General features: G+C 37.9%; 1 protein-coding gene across 16 annotated transcripts in view, besides 1 other annotated feature; it reads left to right on the top strand.

Moving 5' to 3' along the window:
* The window catches only part of MAST4 (microtubule associated serine/threonine kinase family member 4), a 573201-nt gene that overhangs the window by 292426 nt on the left and 260628 nt on the right, over positions 1-20147 (top strand). For all 16 annotated transcript variants that reach the window (XM_024446044.2, XM_047417157.1, XM_047417158.1 and 13 more), the window contains one exon: positions 11133-11164. In XM_024446044.2, the coding sequence (XP_024301812.1) occupies positions 11133-11164 (32 nt within the window). The remainder of the gene's footprint in view (positions 1-11132; positions 11165-20147) is intronic.
* Positions 15132-15984: an enhancer, noted in NCBI's record as "OCT4-NANOG hESC enhancer chr5:66199778-66200630 (GRCh37/hg19 assembly coordinates)". NCBI's record gives its function as "activates a minimal SCP1, AML or CMV promoter by ChIP-STARR-seq in naive and primed H9 embryonic stem cells {active_cell/tissue: H9 hESC(naive and primed)}" and the evidence as "EXISTENCE:reporter gene assay evidence [ECO:0000049][PMID:30033119]".

Raw genomic sequence — 20147 nt, forward strand, 5'->3', positions numbered from 1 at the left:
GAAAGTAGAAATCTGTTAAGCAGGGTTCTTTCTAGTTGCTGAGTTTTTATTCCACATCATTGATATTCACTTCTTTCCCAGGGCATTTTCCTGGATAATGAGAAGACTCTAAAATCAAATAAAGCTTTTGAACATTGAAGATGTTTGCCACTGTTCCGTTGAAGAATCCTATAGATTTATAGTGATTCTAAAAGGTGTCTTATATCCACTATATTAACTAGCTTTTTAGAAGCTTATGAACATTGTAGCTTTTATTGATTCTAGGGAATTGGACCCAACAATAAGCAATAAAAGTCGATGGTAACTTTCTTCCCATATAGGGTTGTGCAGATCAATACTTCGAATTTACTGTAATTTGCTGGTAATGGATGGAAGAACTGAAAAAATTGTGGAGCCTTGTGGGGCACAGCTGTGCGGTGTTGCCTTTTTATCTAAGCTCACTGTAGGTCACAGGCTTTCCCAAGTAACAAGAAACATAGTTAAGTGGCAGGGCTGATACGCATATTTATCAAGAGCCTTCATAAATCATTCTAGGAAAAAAAGGAAATCACAAAAGTTGTCCACAATGACTTTAATTTTATAGAGATCCTGAAGGATCTCTAAATTTGCACTATCCTAAAGGCAATTAAAATTCTAAATATGTAGCTAGCATTGGTGTTTGATCTCCTTCTGCTAAAGTAATTTTCTTACTGATTAATAGCAGGGTGTGTGATTTCACTGAAGTCTAATTTGCTTCGAATTTTCAAATGTATTCACAGCCCTTTGCCCAGGTTCAGTATTTAGAGGTGGAGAAGATGTGTGGGTCACATACCCTTGCTCTTTTATTGAGTCGGTGCTGTCTCTTTACCGTAGCTCTGTAGTTGTGCCCTAGATTCCTTCTTCTAATTCAAGCAGTGCACTTAAATAGTCATAGCTAACACGAAGGGTGCTCTTAGGTTTGGGAGCTGTGCCACATGCAGGACATGTGTTAGCATTAATCTTCTCAACACCCCATAAGATAAGCTGTATTATTTTCATTTTGTAATTTTGGAAATTGAATCTTAGGGAAGTTAAAGTTTATGAAGGATGCTTCCTGGCATTGGCTTGGATTAGAATATGGGTATGTCTGAATCCTGATCCTATTTGTTTAATCACTATGAAACATACAATTGACTTAAATAAGGATTGTTTTAAGCTATGAGTTCAATTGATCTAATATGAGTTTTATATTTTAGCTTCTTTTTTTTATGAAGGACTGTGCCTTCTCTAATTTGATCAAAACTAGTTTCTTTAATTTTAAAAACGACGCAGAAACTTTTGCTTGAAAGAGAGAGTTCTTTTGTTCTTTGAGAACAAAGTGAGCACACAAAGTACAATATGACTGTGGGCTGGAAGCTATTAACCTTGATATAATAAATGCACTTCAGTTAGTATATAATAAACAATAAACTAGAGCTGTTATTCATGTAACTGTTGGCTACTACTCAGCAAAACCCTGCAGAGAAGCATGTAAACTTTGACTTAGGAGACATATTCCTCCTAGGTCATACTGACTTGAAAGACAATATGTGTACAAATGTCTGATTCTCAAGCTCGATTTTGACATCAAGGGTATAATGTGTTAGGAAGCATCAAAACCCATAATAATTGACTAGAAAGGAAGCTTGTTTCATTTGTCCGTTTACTTGAGGTTAGCTGATTATTTGACTTGTTACGCTTCTTCTGCTTTAAAAGGTCTGTGTTAAAAGTAACATATTCACAGGGCTTTGGTTCACATAAAATCAGAGTCTCTAAAAAGTGTGAAATTTGCTTAGAAAGAGTTGCCAAGATCTGTGTTGTGTCTCTCCTAAGAGTAATTGACAGTGTGTTACCAACTATGAATGCAGCCTGATAGCCTACAGGAGGGGTCTGTGGTGCAAAAGTATCAAGTCATTACTTGGTGATGAAAAATAATTAACATACTCTGGACTTGGGCAGATGTGGATTCAAAGACAAGCTAAGCCTTCTACCAGCTCTATGACCTTGTGTGAGTTACTTAGCCTGTGTGTGCCTCAGTTCTCTCATCTCTAAAATGAGAATAATAGTGAAGTTTAAATAAGATAATGTATGTCACTGTGCAGTAAATGTGAGATGCCATTATTAAGGTAGTGAAGGTAGATGAGCTTAGTAAAGAAAGACAGTTCCCACTATTTGTGTAAAAAATTTAAAGTGGAAAAGGTGGTTGTCATGAATGATGTTTAACTTTTCATCTAAGCAAAATCTGGGATTTTATTTTACAGTTTGTCTCATATTCCTGCTCATCAGGGACTCGCTGGTGTAACTTAAATCGTTTGCCATCTTTTCATCCACTTTCAGATTTGCATTTTGCTTAACTTCCGAAAGGCCCTCAGTGCTTTTAGACAGTCTTTTCTCCTCATCTCTGAATGGTACCCTGTCCTGAGCTCCACCACAACTATTCTAAATCAGCCCAGGAGTTAAGCATTTCCTCTCAACTCCTGTGGATCCTGTACACACATTTCTCTCCTGACTCTGCCCCTCCTCCTCCTCCTCACTGCCTCTTCCTTGTTCCTGGCCCTCAGCCATGCTTCCTGGATAATTAAAGAAGTGTCCTAACTTCTCTCCCATGTTGCCCTCCCAGAGCCATGTGACACCCTAATGCCAGAGTAATCTTTTTTAACATGTTGATTAGGCCATCTTATTCCCCTCTTTAAAATGTTCCATGAGCTCACCATTCCCTATAAGATAAAGGCAGCCACTTCCAAAACCCTTCTATGATGTGGCCCTGTCCCTGCCTCCATACTCCTGTCCTGCTGATTTTTCCTTCCTGATCTCTGTTCCAGCCATGTTGTTTCCTGAGTGTGTTCTGTTTCACTCCACCCTACCTGACTACGTCTGTTCTCTCTTCTGGAATTCCCCTTTCTCACCTACTCCCAAGGCTGCCAGGCTAATTCCCAGACATTGCAAAAGAAAGACCAGGCTCAAGTATTGTGTCACTTAGGAATTTTTGAATTGCAAAGACTAGAAAACACAAGTTAAACTGGTTTAAACAATAAAGAGACTCGATTGGCTCATGTACCAGAGAAGTCCAAATACACGCAAGGGTAGATGTATTGTTTCAGAGATTTCACCCAAGACCCAGGTTCTACCAGGCTTTCTTGTCTGCTACCTGTGACACCTATTCTTGTGGCTGCCATTAGTTTTGTAGGTTTAATGCTACTTCTTTCTCGTTAGCTCTCTCGGACAAGGGAGGAAGTTCTTTCCCAGAAGCCCTGAGCAAACATCATTTTGCATCTTATGCATCATTATGCATCATTTTGCATTTGCTCAGGTTGAGTCACATGTCATCTTTAAACCAATTACTTTGATGAAAGCAGTGAGTTTTGTCATTAGTTTAATTGGAGCTTATCCTTGAGATTGAAGGTAGTATCAGTTCCACTGTATTTTGTTAGCATGAATAACAAGAAACATTGGGGAAGAAACAGTCCTGACCCTCCTCAGAGAAACTGATCACCCTCCTCCCTTTTGTATTACTGCATACTTTGAAAAGACCTCTATTCCAGGCCTTTTCACACTGTATTTTACAGTGAGTAAAGTCCTTTCTCCCCAGTGTCTGGCACAGCACCAGCCATATCCACCTTTACTAAAAAGTATGTGATTGAATAAAGGAAACCCATTTTGTTGGCTTTAATCCCCACATGTGCCCTTGCCTTTGCCCTTGGTAGAAGACTTTTGCCTTCTGTATTACTGAAATTACAGAACTTCAAGTGAATTGCTTCAGTTTTACTTTGCTTATCTTTGAAAAGTGCCTGTTTTCACCTGTTCCTTTCTTCCTCGTTAGGGGAAAGAGTGCCCTCTTTATTATCAGTACCAGCCCTCCCTGCTCGTGTATTTATTCAAACCTCTCCTTTCAGTTGCTCACATCACCACTGTCTCCCACTCTCTGACATTGCCGTGGTGGAGTATAGGGGAAAAAATTGGAACTGGATGACATAGGTTCATTTGATTCCACTATCTCATGGCTTTGCAACTCTGGTCAATTGCTGATCTCCTCTGGGCTTTCCATGGGAAGACTTGTGTGTCCTGTCCAGGCAGCCAGCTGATTTTGTGATGAAGCTTATAGACGCAGTTTATGATAAAATCTTAATAAACCACACTAGACAGTCATATCATGACTCGGAGACTTTGTCTGTATAAAGGGCTTATGAGAACTGATACCACAGTCTTGTTCATTTAGCTTTATGGCAGAAAAAGCCAACTTGGAAAGAAAGGAATAAGGTAGCTAATTTCTTTATTTTTCAAAGAAAGTGAGTGTTGTGGTTTTGATCAAATAAAATTTACATATAAACCCAGCAAGCATTTTGTTTTAGCCTTTTGTGGTTTATTTTGTTTTTGTTTTGTTTTGTTTTGTTTTTGATGTTGTTTTTTTAAGACAGAGTCTTGCTCTTTAGCCCAGGCTGGAGTGCTGTGGTGCCATCTTGGCTCACTGCAACCTCCGCCTTCTGGGTTCAAGCGATTCTCCTGCCTCAGCCTCCTGAGTAGCTGGGACCACAGGCACGTGCCACCACGCCCAGCTAATTTTTTTTTTTGTGTGTGTGTGTGTGTCTTTTTTTTGGTAGAGACGGGTTTCACCGTTTTGGCCAGGCTGGTCTCGAACTCCTGACCTCAAGTGATCCACACGTCTCGGCCTCCCAAAATCCTGAGAGATTATAGGCATGAGCCACTGTGCCTGGCTGGTTTATTTTGCTTAACTTGACTAGCACAAATAAATATATGAAAGTGCATTATGATTATAGATACAAAAAGAAAATTAAATAAAATCTGTAAAAAGAGAAAGATAATTTAGGATTCTCCATCCATCTCACATTTCCCACAAGGATTTTACTGTTATTTTACAGGCTGTGTGGTTTGACTGTTCAGGCATTTCTATAGGGATCTCCCTACTGGTTTTCCAGCTTGACTACTGTCTTCATTTAGGAAAGCATGTATTTATGAGCAACTTACTGGATTTTTCAATTGTTGTTAGAATGTAGACCATTTTTGCCTTCTGATGATTTACAGCCAAGCCCTGTGTAAGATCTGGTTCTATGGTATGAACTTTTTTGTCCTCTGCTTCTGCCTTTACAAGTGACTCTCAGAAATGCAGACCAGAAAAATGGCACCCAAAGCGTTTCTTTAGGAGATCCTATCCCTGGATGAGCCTGTACACCCAGCTAATTTTAAGCTTTGTCAAGTAGTGAGAACTCCATTTTGAGTACCTTTCCTTGCCTCACACTGCTTCCCACTTGCAAAGGAAATATCTAAAAACCTGAAACTTTACCTCTGTAATGACAGCCTAGAAAATTAATATTCCCTAAAGAGGAAAACAATCCAAAGGCAAATGGTTTATGCAAACCAATAGTCCTTAGGGGGACTTAAAAGTGCCAACCTCTAATAAACAACATACACAAACCACTTTCTCTCTAGATCTCTAGGGGTGGGGCTCAGGCGTTAGTATTTTTAAAAACTCCCTGGGTGACATTAATGTGTTGCCAGGCTTCAGAATCACTGCTTGAGCTGAATTATCTCATTCCTTTTTATTTTCTCTCCTCTGTTAGCATTTACACATTCAAGTAATACTGCATAATCTTGCACCTGGTGATAACTCTTTTGTTTTATATGCGTGTATGTATGTTGCCCCAGCTAGCTTTTAAATGTGTTTTGTTTTTCCTCATGTATCCCTAAAAGCACCTGATATACTGCCTTACACATCTTGGCTTCTTTGAACTCTTTTCCTAAATTAATTGTTAGTGCAGAGTACTTGCAGTAACTCAGTCATAGGATGAGGCCACCAATGACTAATGAAAGAAAGATGATGATGGGGAAGTGCATGAACTTGAAATTCATTGGTGTCAGGAAAATGGTGAGGGAATGGTGTGTACTGGACATTGCCACTCTGTTTCTATGTGGGGTTTGGGAGTGGTGGTGCAGAAGGCAAGTTGCTCAACTTCCAAATTCCCTTTGTTTTTTGGAGGAACTCCCAAAGTGTGGATCTTGGTAGACTTGGCCCTACCTCCCACTATACTAGTGAGGGAGCCAATATTCCTTTTTCCTGCCCACTTGGAAGCTGGGGCAGAGACCCAGGTGTGATCATGTAACCCTCACAGGACACCTGTGAGGAGAGATGAAGTGAAGGTATGTGGGGGCAGTTAGAGATTCTTCCTGGAGGCTGAGCTCCCACTCAGTGTTCAGCTGCAGAGGTGTCCTAACTGGGCTGTTCCCTGGGTGTGGTCATACTTTCTGGGTTTGATTTTTTGGTTCCTGCCCACTTTCTGACGTCGTCTGCCCAACCATCCTATTGCCTTCAGGGGTGCGAGTAGCCATCCATACATTGATTGTTTACTTGTCAGTCTCATTCAATTTCTGTTGCTTTCAAGAACCCCAGCTGCTGGGTATAGCAACAGGTCAGTTAAAAGTGTATAGCACAATCCTCCCTTCTTCTTTATTTTAAATGGCGAAGTCCCTGTGGCTTTGTAACCAGGTGTATCTGTTTTCCTTTTTCTATCACTTATCTCCTGTAAAGTCCCATGGCTTTACATACCATCTTAGTGTTAATGACTCCAAAATCTACTTCCAGCCTTAACCTTTTTCTTGCACCCAGATTCGTTTGTCTAGTTGCCTGTTTGGAATCTTCTACTTGGAATTCTTACAGACAGACATCTTGAATGTAGCATGTCAAAAGCTGAACTGTTTTTCCATCAAACTCCATTTGCTCAGGCCAAAAACTTATGACTCCTTGCTTTCTCTTTCACGCTCCACATCCAGTTTCTGTGTAAATCTTATGAAAACATACCTGAAATCTGACTACTCCTTACCATCTTCATTGCTGGTCCTAGCTAGAATCTCTCTCACCTACAGTATTTCTATAGCTTCCTAAAAAATTGATATTAAATATTACCTTAAAGTAAGCTTAGAATATTTAGATATTTATGTGTTCATTTCTTCTGTTCTTCAGCCCCACATCAGTCTTCCCTTCTCCCTGTCTCCCCCTTTTGATACACTTTCTTTCACATTTTGGAATAATTTTAAAATTTATAGAACATTTACAATACAGCTCAGAAAATTACTGTATACCCTTCTTCCAGTCCCTCAAAATGTTGGCATCATATATAACCTTAATACATTTGTCAAAATCATGACTTTAACATTGGTACATTGTTATCATCTAAAGTACAAACTTTATTTAGATATCACCAAGTTTTCCACTAATGTCCTTTTTCTGATTGAGAATCCAATTCAAGATTTTTCATTTATTCAGGATTCTTTATTGCCTTTAGCCACCCTTAGTCTTCTCCCATCTGTGACAGTTAGTCAATTTATTCTTTTTTTTCACAGCCTTGACAGCTTTAAGGAGCACGGGTCAGATGTTTTTAGAAGGTCCCTCCATTTGGGTTCACCTGAGGCTTTTTCACGATTAGACTGGGGTTCTGGATTTTAGAGATAATACCACAGGCATGAAGTGTTCTTCTCATCACATCATATCAGAGGATAGCAGCATGACGTTAGCGTGACTTACCACTGATGATGTTAACCTTGATCACTCAGTTACAGTGGTATCTGTGGGTTTCCCTACTATAATGTTGCTATTGTTCCCTTTTTCTATTCTATTATTTGGAAGTGAGTCACTAGGTCCCAGCCCACTCTCAAAGAGAGGAGATTTAAGCTCTACCATTTGAAGAAGGGAGTATCTACATGTATTATTTGGGCTTCTGTAAATGTCCTCTTTTAAATCATAAATTTACCCTTAGTTAGAAAAGAAGCGTTCAGAGATTCTCTAAACACGTGCGGCATGTATAGCCATATTGTTTTGTTTGTCTATGAATAGCTGTTAAATACCAAAAATTAGTTTTAAAATTACCACTGTGGCAGTTGCTTGTACATGTAAAACATTACAGTTTTCTCCCCTGTCTTCATGAATGAGATAGTTGCCTTCTCTTTTTGAAGCTAAGGATGGCTGGGTGAAAGGAGCAGGATCATTTACGCTTCTTTCTTCTCAGACTCTCCATGAGTTTTCTTCCTGGATTGGAGGGATCTTTTGGTAACCTCAGGTATATTGAGAGATCTCAAAAACAACAGGATTCTCAGACAAGATTAATTTTATTTAATCTTTATCTTTAATGCAAATATTTGCTAGTTAACACTTAAAAGTCTGGGGGGAGGATACAATATCAAGCAAGTAATGATAAACAGCAACTCTAAAAAATGTTAAATGTCATTGAGTCATCAATATCAATGAAAATCTAGAAATTTTTAATCTTAAGAATTTCTTTAATCCAGTGTCAACAATTAGCATATTGTTTAGTTCAGATGGATACTTCTTGCTGTTTTTTGCTTTTTTCCCTTTTTCTTTCCTCCTCCAATTCTTACGTGACAGTAAATTTTTAACACACACTCCACATATGTCAAGCACAAGCTTGGGTTTATGACCCAGACCAATACCACGTCTTATCTAATTATCTAAGTATGTGTTAGTGACCTTATCCTGACATTAAGAAAATAAAATGAGGACACATACACGAAGTACTGCAGGGACTTTGGCGATAAAATGACTTGATGCCGTTCATTGACGTCTGACAGGTGCAGATTTATCAGCATGTGGCCCTCATCCATTAGGGCAGGAGCTGCTCCCCGCGCAGGCTGCAACCGCTTAGCCCTCCTGGTATTTGCAGACTTTTGCAGCTATTGTTCACAAGGTCTTGGCCACAGCACATTCATTTCTCTCACTTTATTACCATCACATCTGATTCCAATTTGCTACCAAATTGAGTTTCCAGTCCTGAGCCTGACATTCAAGCCATCAGGTGGATTAGCTCCTACAGCTTGGTTAGCGTGGTAGCTTCAGGTCAGTTGACAGTGGCCTATTAAATGTCCTTTGCTCCTCATCTTGGAATCTCGGCTGCCATCCCGTGGAGCAGCAGTGCTGGGTTACCCACTGTAACCTTTCTCCTTGTTTAGAACTCATAATTCTAGACCTACTGGAAAGATTTCTGATTAAAAACAGAGTTGGTTTTTATCCCTTATCTTGCTGTTTCAGCAGCTTTTTCTCAGAGCAAAGCAGCCAGTTTATGCTCAGGTTATTTGGTGGAATATGATTGATGGAACTATTTGGGTCATTCGTTTGGTCCCTTTCCTCTTATATCTTCTGAGTGATCTATTTGCATATATAGTTGAAATAACATCTGATTTATTATTTTGTTGTTATTAATGATAACACCTCAGGTACCTTTTATGCGGCTGTCAGATCAGCTTATTGGACAGAGCAGTATTATTCATTTGGTCTCTAGGCCTTTGCTCTGCACTAGTATCAATGCCTTTCTAGGAGAAATGGCCTGAGTCTGGTACAGTGTGGTGTATTTTGTAATCTCAGCTACTCAGGAGGCTGAGGCAAGAGGATGCTTGAACCCAGGAGTTTGAGATCAGCTTGGGCAATGTAGTGAGACCTCATCCTAAAAATAAATAAAAATTAAAAAATAAAAGATACAGTGTGGTGAGCTATTACTTCTAGGAAGTTCTCTCTTTTTGTTTTCTTTAACCTGAATACAACACTGATTTCTCAATGCTTATGGTAACCAAAGATCCATGTATAGAAAATTACTCATTGGTTTTCTATTTATGTTTCGGTTCCCAAGGAAAACTGTCTTGGTCAGAGACTTTTCTCTTGTCATTAGAGGTTTTAGTAAATGAAGGTATATTTATGTTTCAGAATCAGGGAGCCAAGTTCAGCAAACACTATAATTTCTTGGAGCTAATCAAGGATTAAAGAAAAAAGCAAAGCAAAGCAAAACAAAACAAAAAGCACTTTACCACTGAACCCTAGAGCCCTTGAAAAGAAAAGGTTTTGCTATTGGGTGAAAGAAGACGACACTTCATTCCTAAAATTGCTGATTGTTTTTCTTGCTTTTGAACAGTTATGATTGCTGTAACTCTGTATGGAAATATATTTGCCAGTTAATAAGTAAGTCCTGCTGTGTTTAAAGCAGCAGCCACAGAGCTCTCCTCCCCTCTGGTCTGATGCTCTCACTGCCACTTTCTGTAAGCTGTGCTGGAGTAAGTTGTGCTGTGGAAAAGTGATAGCTGAGCCTGCTGTCCATGACAAACATTGAAATATTCAATAAAAATAAGAGACAGGAAAGGTGAGTTTGAAGCTGATGGGGAAATACCTTTCAAAGGATAGTGCTCAAGCACCTGAAAGGCAGAAAAATAAATGAGAATTATGGGCATGAATAACCAAATTTAGTCATAATGCGCTTCATTTTGAGTTTAAATAGCCAAACGACTCATTGCTTCCTGTTCTTTAATAATTGACAGCAAGTAATTATTCTTGAGCTTTGAAAACTTCATTAGTGGATAAGAGGTATTTCTGAATCTATTTTTGTTTATTTCTTTGGTTGGCTTGTTTTCTTGGGTGGTTTTTTAGTTTTCCACAGCCTCTTGATGATTAGGTAGGTAAGAATCTTAAAATTGAGATAAGTGTGAAGGCACCCTTTTAAAACTATGAAGCACTCTAATAATTGTTGTGGTTGTCTGATTACCTTTTAGAAGTTGATTAAGCTACTTTTAAATATCCCAAGGAATAAATGGATGTTTTGAGAAATAATACCAAAAGGAAATCTTTTCCATTATTATTTTAAAAATAGGAAGTACAATATTTGGTATGCATAATGTTTGCATGAATATATTTCTGTTGAGGGCAAATAGTTTGATTTAATTGTCCTTTACATTGCACCTTTCATTTAATTATAATCCTGCAAAATGTCTCCTACTTCTTATAGTTAAATCCTGTTTGGATAAGTTCTTTGCTTCTTCAGATTTTCCGTATGCTCAGTTGTAGGGCCGTGTAACTCAACTCAGTATTTTACTGTAGTTGCTTTGGGAAGATTGATGGTTTTTCTGCTCTGGAATTCAGATAAGCTGTGTTTGTACCTTAAACACAGTGTGTAAAGAGAACCGTGTAAGAAGGGATCCAGCATAAAATTATGACATTAAAATGTTTTCAGTATAAGAAATGCCAAATCAAGCGTAATGAAGGATGATACATTCTACGTTATCCATTTGGTATCCTAGTAATCTAAGGTTAATGCAGCATTGCTTATATATGGTTTTTTTTTCTTTTGCAGAAGGAGCTGAGTCTCCCCAGAAGAGGAAGTTTGTAAGTAGTAGTATTTTGTTTCCTTGTTTTCTTTTTATTAATATATAGTTTATAGTATGATTCTTCTCTGATTCATTAGTGGCAATTATAAAATGAATGATAATCAACTGAAGAAAACAAAAAACTGAATTTATTTATAAAAGTCAAACAGTAGTAATGATTTCATAATTTCCAGGGTTTGTTCCATATGGGCATTGCAAACCTAAATGTATATTTATTCCTCGGAGAATCTTAATTTTTAAAATGCTGTTATATAATTAAGCAAAAACATTATTTGGTTAGGAGACAGAGTACATTGATTTGAATCAAGAATTAGTGTTCTTTATGTTCTGAAATCCATAATTTTTCTTTATACTATGGATTTTACATGGAGTAAATTATGTACTTTTGAATCTGAATTGGAGACTTTGAATCAGTTAAACTTTCCATTATTAGATCTAGATCTTATTGAACTGATTCATGTAATGACCTTGTATTAAAATAATGGATTTATGAACTTTGACTTGATTTCTTTATAGTGTGTTTTATTCTTTTATTTTTAAGGCCAATAATATATTTGCATAAATCATAATTTTTTCCGTTAGCAAGTTGCAGAATAAAATTGAGGACAGAATTAACTACCCTCAATTAAGGTCGAATTTGTTATCCAATAGTACTGTGTAAGGGCTGGTCTGGAAACATTTACATTTGATGTCTGATTTAAGTTGAAGAAGTTAGTAGATGGAGCACCTCCTTTAAAAAAAAATAGTATTTAAGATAAGTTTTTGCAACTCTCCTCTTGGAGGATTAGAAAAATATATGGCAACTGTTGAAATATAGGATTTATTCTAGGCTAAATTTTGGAAAATTTCAGCCTTTGCATCTAAGAACCAAAAATTCATCAGCTGTGAACATTTCATTACTGTCCATTTTGCTTCCTGTCTTTTGTACAAGTTTAGGCTGCCAGGCAGACACTGGATTATTATTTTCGGAGAATGTGCCCAGATAAATTGTCACTAGCTTTCAGCTTCCATCTCCCTGTGCTAGAGTTTAACAGAAAATAGTTTGCTGTAGGAAATGGACTTAGAATTAACTCTTTCCTCTTCTGCATCATGATTAGGACTCTGTTGCCGAAACTTGGAAAAGTCCAAACTTTTTGATATTTCCCATCATGATGAGACAAAAGAAAAATAGAAAACTACATGAAATACTTTTATAGAAAAAAATCTTATTTTTTTGTACTTTTATTTAAGGCTTAAGCACCCTTTATTTTTTATTTGAAAACTTCAGAACTTCAGTCAAATCTTGCTTTTAGCCTTTTTAATAGATTGCACATGGGTTTTGTTTTTTGTTTCTTGTTTTATCATGTTAGTGTTTCCAACAATATTATAAAGATTATGTTAATTACAGAATTAGATTTCATATTTCTATTTAAGGGTAATTTCCTCTTTTGCACTTGAGTAAGTCAATTCTGTTAATGTTAGCTGATAGCCATGATTTGTTGTGAAAATATGTGATAAGGAAAGTATTTAAGTTTCTTTATTTGAGAAAATGGGATCTTTAGTGAAAAAAGAATAATGACATAAGTTTGTTTGGAGCCTATCCTTTGGAAACATAGTAAGAGAAAGTCTGAATTACATCAGAGCCATTTAAACTCCCCTCCCTATTAAAAGTCAATTGAGCATTCAGAAGATGAGCATGAAGCACACTGTATATGTATATGTGAACACACATCTGCTTTTTTAGTGAATTCTGGGAAAATTAATACTTTCAAGTGAGGTAAACCAAAAATAAACATGCTATTTTGTATTTTCTATTAAGCACAAATATTCCCCAGAGAATTAATGATGCCTCATATAGCTGTGCTAGAACCCAGTGTCACTCAGCATTTTTAGTGAATACTGTACAGAATGCCAGTAATTACTCTCCTCATGCAAGGTTCTTTTATGACTTTGAGAAAGGGAAAATACTTTTTAAAATAAATGCTAGAGTGATTTTATACAAATCTAATGAAGAAAGGCACAAATATATCTTTATTAGTATCAGTTAGCCAACATAATAGTACCTGAGAATTAAACCTGTTAACACTCTCTTAGTTTATTTACTGCATACATGCCTCCTCCATAAATGCTTTGAAATCTTTTTATATCTTCTCTCAGAAAGATTGGGGTTTGCTTCTGCTGTTCTTTTCAGTCTTTTTGTTGTTGTTCCATATTAACAGTAAGCAACTGCACATAGCGTGATGTATTTCTTATTGTCTTTGGTTATACAGCAATGTGATCCAACTTGTTAGAGAGTGTGTACCTTGATAAAGGCTGAAAAGCCCTCTATTTTGATATATCTGCTGCTTCAGATTGTATGTCTTGAAAGATAGTAGCTTTAAAATTGCATTTTCAGCATTCTGAAACTTACGGGGTTTTCCAAATTTTTTTGAAAAATTTGAATATTGCTTTAACTAAGCTTAAAGGTAACTTTTATATCCAGAATCATGGTAAAAACATACATTAAATTGAAAGCTTTCAGAAGTGAAAGACCACAGGAAATTTTTTTGTTATTAGTTGAAAGTATAAAAAAGCAAACTATTCTGTCTAGAAAAAGAAATTCACATCCCCACTAATTTATTATTTACAATCATTTTAATGAGAACTAACTTGAAGACTCTCTTGTTTTATATACATTTTTAAAAGGTGCAGAAGCAGTGATTGTGACTGGGTAATAGACAAGAGAAGTGAGAGAAACTGCTTTCTAGGCAAGATGCTGTTATGAGATTGTCAGGTAACTCCAGATCACTTTTCCAGAGGCATTCCAGCTTCCTAGACAGCTGGATTTTAGCTATTTCTCTTCTTTTTCCATTCAACGAATAGCCATTTGCCAAGGCTTCTTCTGACCCCAGATTCTTCCTGTACTTTCCCCCTCATTCTCCTTGGAACTAAAGTTATCACATTGTCCTATCCCCCTCCTTCCAGCTACCTGTCAAAATCGTGATATAGTCAGATAATGAAATATTATACAGCAGGTAAAGTAACCAAACCAGAGTATACTTATCAGCAGGTATAATTGCCAAGAATAAAATGATAAGCAAGTGCTAAAAGCAAATTCCAGGTACAAGATGGCATTTATATTATAAAACTTAAAAAATGCAAAACAATATGTTGTTTCTGAATACAGGCATTTACAGTAAAGGTGTAAAACATGCATGGAAAGCAAGTTTATGATAAAGGCCACTTACTAGTGGAGAGAATGAAAGACATTGGATTTGAGAGGCCTCTGCAAGGAGTTTCACGTATATCATTAATGTGATAGTGTGTATATGGGTGTTTATATTATAGCCACTATATTTTTGGTATTCTTGAAATATTTTATGTAAAATACTCAGTGATTGTTTTGAAGTAGGATTCAAATTGCTTTAACCAAGTATTTATGTAGATTTTTAAGTAATTTGAATAACAATGATGTAAACATTCTCACACCTGTGTTTGTGTGTGTGTGTGTGTGTGTGTGTGTGTGTATTTGGTTAATTTTGTCTCATAATGAAGATTGCTCCAAATAAATATGATTTGACAATAACTGCAATATCTACAGTGGCAGACACCAATTGGTTCTTCCCAGAACATCATAGAAAAAATTATGATGATAAATTGTGATAATCTTGAAATGTTTTAGTATATACTACCTCAAGCCAGGGGATGAAGCAAAGGAGATAATAGCATTCATGACGGTATATTATTACACTTAGCTTCAGAACTAGATTTGTTGCCTTAGATTTTTATCCCACTTTATCCCTCAAAGAGTTGAGACTCTGAATGCCTGTTCTTTGTGTTCAGCAAGGTGCCCAGTATAATAACTACATAGTGCGGACATTTGTGGAGTCTGTACAAATCTGTCTCCCCCTCCTAGATTGGGAGCCTCCAAGCAGTGGACCTGCCGTGTTCTCTTAGGTTCTGTCACTGTGCCTGCTCCCTGAGCACAAGTGGTGATGCCATGGCTGGATGGCTGGTGCCAGATCCTTCATGGTTTCAATTCAGTGTGGAACACATCAACCTTCTGCATGTTGTTTGATTTAGATTTTTCTAATAACGAATTTGTACTGTCTGTATTTATGAAAGTGCCATTATTGTTGTGGTACTTTTTTTCACCCATATTTTGAATGTAAGTCCTGAAATTACATTTGTAAGTGGAAAAATTCACAGGGAAGTGTTTGTTTTCAGGCAAGGAAGGTGCAAAAAGTGGAAAAGCCCAAGATGTGAGTCCAAGATGATTAGGAGCAAAACCAAGGTGTCCCTGGCAGCCACTATTTATTTTTAAAGGACCCCTTTGTGTTTTGTTAATTGCCTAAATAAACAGCTCTCCAGGACAGAGAGGCTTCTTTTTTCATGGAATTCCCTAGAGTGCCTTGATGGTGTTTATACCCTGGAGAGAGGAGCAGGAAATAGGCTCAGGCTAGCTCCTGTTTTTAAGTGGTATTTCAGATGTCTCCGTATAGAGAAGAAGGAAACTGTACTATGTATTCTTAGCAAATAGATTCTCCCTGCTGCTTAAAATGACCTTTCCTCCACCTTGTTTAATTATAAGCCGTGGTGCATTGTTTCATGGCCTTGTAGGTCCGGGATCTATAAAATTATCTGCAATTATCACTTCATTTTAGTAGAAGCAGTGAATGACACTTGGCAGTTTCTTAGCTTTAAGTTCTCTGGCCACACCTGCTTGATTGCTTGCTTGCTTGATTGATGGATTGGTTTATGATATTTGATTGTGACAGCTGTTTTAAATTTATTTTTATTTAAAAAATTTTTCCAACTCTTTTGAAAAATAATTTCAACTTTTAGGTTCAGGAAGTACGTGTGTAGATTTGCTACAGGAGTATATTGCATGACACTAAGGTTTGGGGTAAAAATGATCCTGACACCCAGGTAGTGAGTGAATATAGTACCCAAACAGTAGTTTTCCAGCCCTTTCCCCCTTGCCTCCCTGCACTAATAGACCTAGTAGACCCCGGTGTCTTATTGTTCCCATCTTTATGTCCACACACATGCTTTAAGGATGCTTTTAAAGGAATATCCAAGGCCGGGCGCAGTGGCTCACGCCTGTAATCCTAGCACTTTGGGAGGCCAAGGCAGGTGGATCATCTGAGGTCAGGAGTTCAGGACCAGCCCAGCCAACATGGTAAAACCCCATGTCTACTGAAAAATACAAAAATTAACCAGGCTTGGAGGCGCATGCCTGTAATTCCAGCTACTCTGGAGGCTGAGGCAGGAGAATCACTTCCACCCAGAAGGTGGAGGTTGCAGTGAGCCGAGATCGCGCCCACGCCAGCCTGGGCAACAGAGTGAAACTCTGTCTCAAAAAAAAAAAAAAAAAAAAAAAAAATGGGATATCCAGCAGCAGGAACCCAAGGCAGAAGCAGCTCCCAGTATGTATAGTAGTCCTGGAAAAGTATGTCTCTGCATGCTGAGGGATTGCTGAGAGCATTCAAATTATCCCAGAGGCAATTTAAAAGGTTTTGCTTATTTTAATTAACTGATCTAGCAACAATACTAGCAGCTGGTAACAGTATTCCTCATTATAGAGTTTGTCAATGAAAGAGTCAAACTCTGTAAAATATTTGAAGGGATTTACTCTTAGCTCAATATGAGCGACCAAGGCCTGAGGTCCTGAGAGGTCCTCAGAACATGTGCCCAAGGTGGTCAGGTTACACTTGGCATCATGCATTTTCAGGAAATATAAGACACCAATTGATACATGTAAATTATGCATTGGTTTGGTCTGGAAAGGTGCGATAGCTGGGTGGGTGGTGCTTACAGATCATAGGTGGATTCAAAGATTTTCTGATATTGGCAATTGGTTGAAAGAGTTATTATCTAAGACCTGGAATCAGTAGAAAGGAGTGTCTGGGTTAAGATAAGTGATTATGGAAACTAGGGTTCTTATTATGTAGAATAGATGGTAAATGTCTCTTGTCAGGCCTTAAAAGGTATCAGACTCTTAATCTCTCCTGAATCAGGAAAAGTCCTGGAAAAGGAAGAGATTCTCTATAGAATGTAGATTTTTCTCCACAAGAGACAGATTTGCAGAGCCATTTAAAAATGTGTCAAAAATATATTTTGGGGTAAAGTACTTGAATTTCTTTCAGGGCCTGCTATCTGTCATGTGATGCTACACTAGAGTCACATTGGAATTTGGTCTCTTATGCTACAAAGAGCCTGTTTTGTCAGTCTTAAGATCTCTGTTTTAACGTCAGCTGGTCGGTTGTGCTGAATTCCAAAGGGAAGGAGGGTATCATGAGGCATGTCTGACCCTCTCTTCTTATCATGGCCTGAACTAGTTTTTCAGGTTTACTTTGGAATGCCATTGGCTGAAAAAGGGGGATTCGTTCAGTCAGATGGGGGACTTAGAATTTTATATTTGGTTGACATGTTTTTATGATTTTTCTCCATTCACCCTTTCATTATTCCTCTGAGAGTGGTTGGAGTCTATTAGGGCTGGCCTTGGAATAAGTGGGCTAGTTATCTACTGGCATTTGATAGTTTCAGGTCTGCTAGGAGGTCAATCCCCTCTGACCGCAAAGGGGATTTCCATCTTAAACACATCTACCACATGTCAAACATTCCAGTATTAGAAATTCATTCTGCTGGATCTTGGAGATGTCTTTGGTACCTCACTGAAATGTATGTACCTTTGGTCAGGGCAGGTTGTCGCCCAAACTAAATTTAGCACAGCAGAAGACAATTCATTAATGGGATGCTTCTGGTGAAGTGGCAAGAAACAAGGCTAGCAGAAAGTTGAGCAGGTATTGAGAACCATTTTACCATATGACTACATTAATAAATGTATGAAAAGAATAATGAACTTATTTTACCACTTTCTAATTTTGCCTTTCTTGGTTAGGCACAGTAAAGGGTGTCCAGAGATGAGATGGAAGATGAGAGTGACCAACAGAGGGAGAAAATATTGTCAAAAAGTAGTTAGGACTACAAAGCAGGGGAACTTGATGGTAGCTTCTGGGAGGAGCTGGGCCTGCTAGACTTCTGAGGTAGAGTTTGTCTTATAGTAGATGTATTTGTTGGAGAACTTTTTCCTTAGTTCAACTAAAACTCGGCTTTTATCACACGACCAGGAAAGATTAAGCTTGTGGACATATAGAAGGGTGGGGAAAATGGAATTTACTTGGTGAAAAGGAAAAATAACTCTCAGCAAAGCGAGAGAGAGAGAGAGAGAGAGAGAGAGAGAGAGAGAGAGAGAGAGAGAGTCCTGCTAGGAGGTTTCCCACTTCACAGATAGAATCCCAGGTCACCACACAGGAACAGAAGAGGCCAGGCTTCTCCCCATTGCAAAGGGTGCAAACTTCCCGAGGCTTTACCTCATCCTCCCAGGGTGCAGGTGGGCATTACTCAGAAAGAATCAGTGGGGAAAGGGTGGGCTTCATCCAGGATCAGCAGTTCGGTATTTCAGCCTCCAGGCTGTTTTATGCTTGAAAGTAGGATTTCGCCAGGGACCCTTGGCTGTCTCCTGTCTCAATCATATTGAATTGTGTGTATTGGATTAGGGTATTTCTAAAATTGGAATTTCTGATTTTGACACAAGATAGGAAGTGAGCTTCTATATAATGAAATGGGCATAGGTTGATGCGTGTGTGTGTGTGTGTGTGTGTGTGTGTGTGTGTGTGTGTGTGTGTGTGTATTTTTTAAAAAGAAGACTTAGGTTCAGGCCTGTTATATATCAGAAAATACTGCCTTGACTGCCTGTCTAGAAAAGTAGTTTGAGTAAAATGAGATTATTTCTAGAAGGCAAGGAAAGGGAATCACCTTGGTTTTCAACTTACTTGAATTGCATTTGTGAGATTTTCAGCAAAGTAAAGGCAATGTTTCCTGAAAGAGAGGGAAAGAGTTTAATTCAAACAAAATAAAGGATGTGTAAACCATATTTGAATAAATTTTAAAATAAATTTAGTTTTCTTCTTAGCATTTTCTGTCCTCCCACCCCCACAAATATTGAAGCAAAAATTCAAAATATCTATTATCAAAGCCACATGGAAGTCCAGTGTCATTTTGAATGTTAGAAACCCAAAAACAAAACGAAGAAAAAAATCGAGTGTCGCATCTGAATTAGCATTTAAAGTGGCATGTTTACATAAAAAGAGAATAGTGTAATCTATCCTGAGAGTAAAGAGAGGATTTCAGACTGTGGAAGAATGTCAATTGCATTTATGTATTCATCGAATAGCCAGTTTGGTATTTGGCACGTATTTGCAGCTTTCCTTATCACACATGCATTTGTCTTCTGTGAAGTGGGTAGGGAAGAGATTTAGGGTATAGAAACAATGTAGGATTGATCTTCTTACCTTTGAAAATTATATGAAGACCTTAGTTTTGTCCCAGGGGAGAGGGTTAGGTTACCTGTGGGGAGGTTTATAAAAATCTATGTGCATTGCCAAACACCCTTGGGAATGCAAATCAGAATCTAGTGTGTATTGAGGGCAGGGTAAGGTAGAGGCTTGAGTACTTTTAACCACTTTTCAAGGTGAATCTAAAATGCCATTCCCAGTTGAGAATTAATGTTCTTAGAGTTTCGGGGGGTGTGTGTAGTGGTGAAGTGTGCTTTTGGATAGCTAAAAGCAGGGGCAGAAGTTCCCTATTTCATATTTACTGGAATAACTTTTTAGCAAATCAGAATAAAGTAGGATTGGGGGAAAGTTTTTTAGTGAGCAGTCCTTTTCAGCAATGCTTATTTAGAGTGACCCATTGAGAGAGGCAGATGTCTGTGCTGTCTCACTAAAAGCCACCTTCTCACATCTGTTAATCAATAGGCAATCAATCACTGAGTAGCATTTTGGAGCTTGGACTCAGAAGTCACACTGCCTAGGTTTGAATCCTGTCTCTGCCATTTAGCCAGCTGCATGACCTTAACCTCTATGTGCCTTAGTTTCCTAAAGTAGAATGAGAATATTATTGTGTCCTCAAATTGTTTAGAGGATTAAATTAATATTTGTAAAGTGTTTATGACAGTA

This window comes from Homo sapiens, chromosome 5, assembly GCF_000001405.40.
Source record: "Homo sapiens chromosome 5, GRCh38.p14 Primary Assembly".
In the NCBI taxonomy this organism is placed as follows: domain Eukaryota; kingdom Metazoa; phylum Chordata; class Mammalia; order Primates; family Hominidae; genus Homo; species Homo sapiens.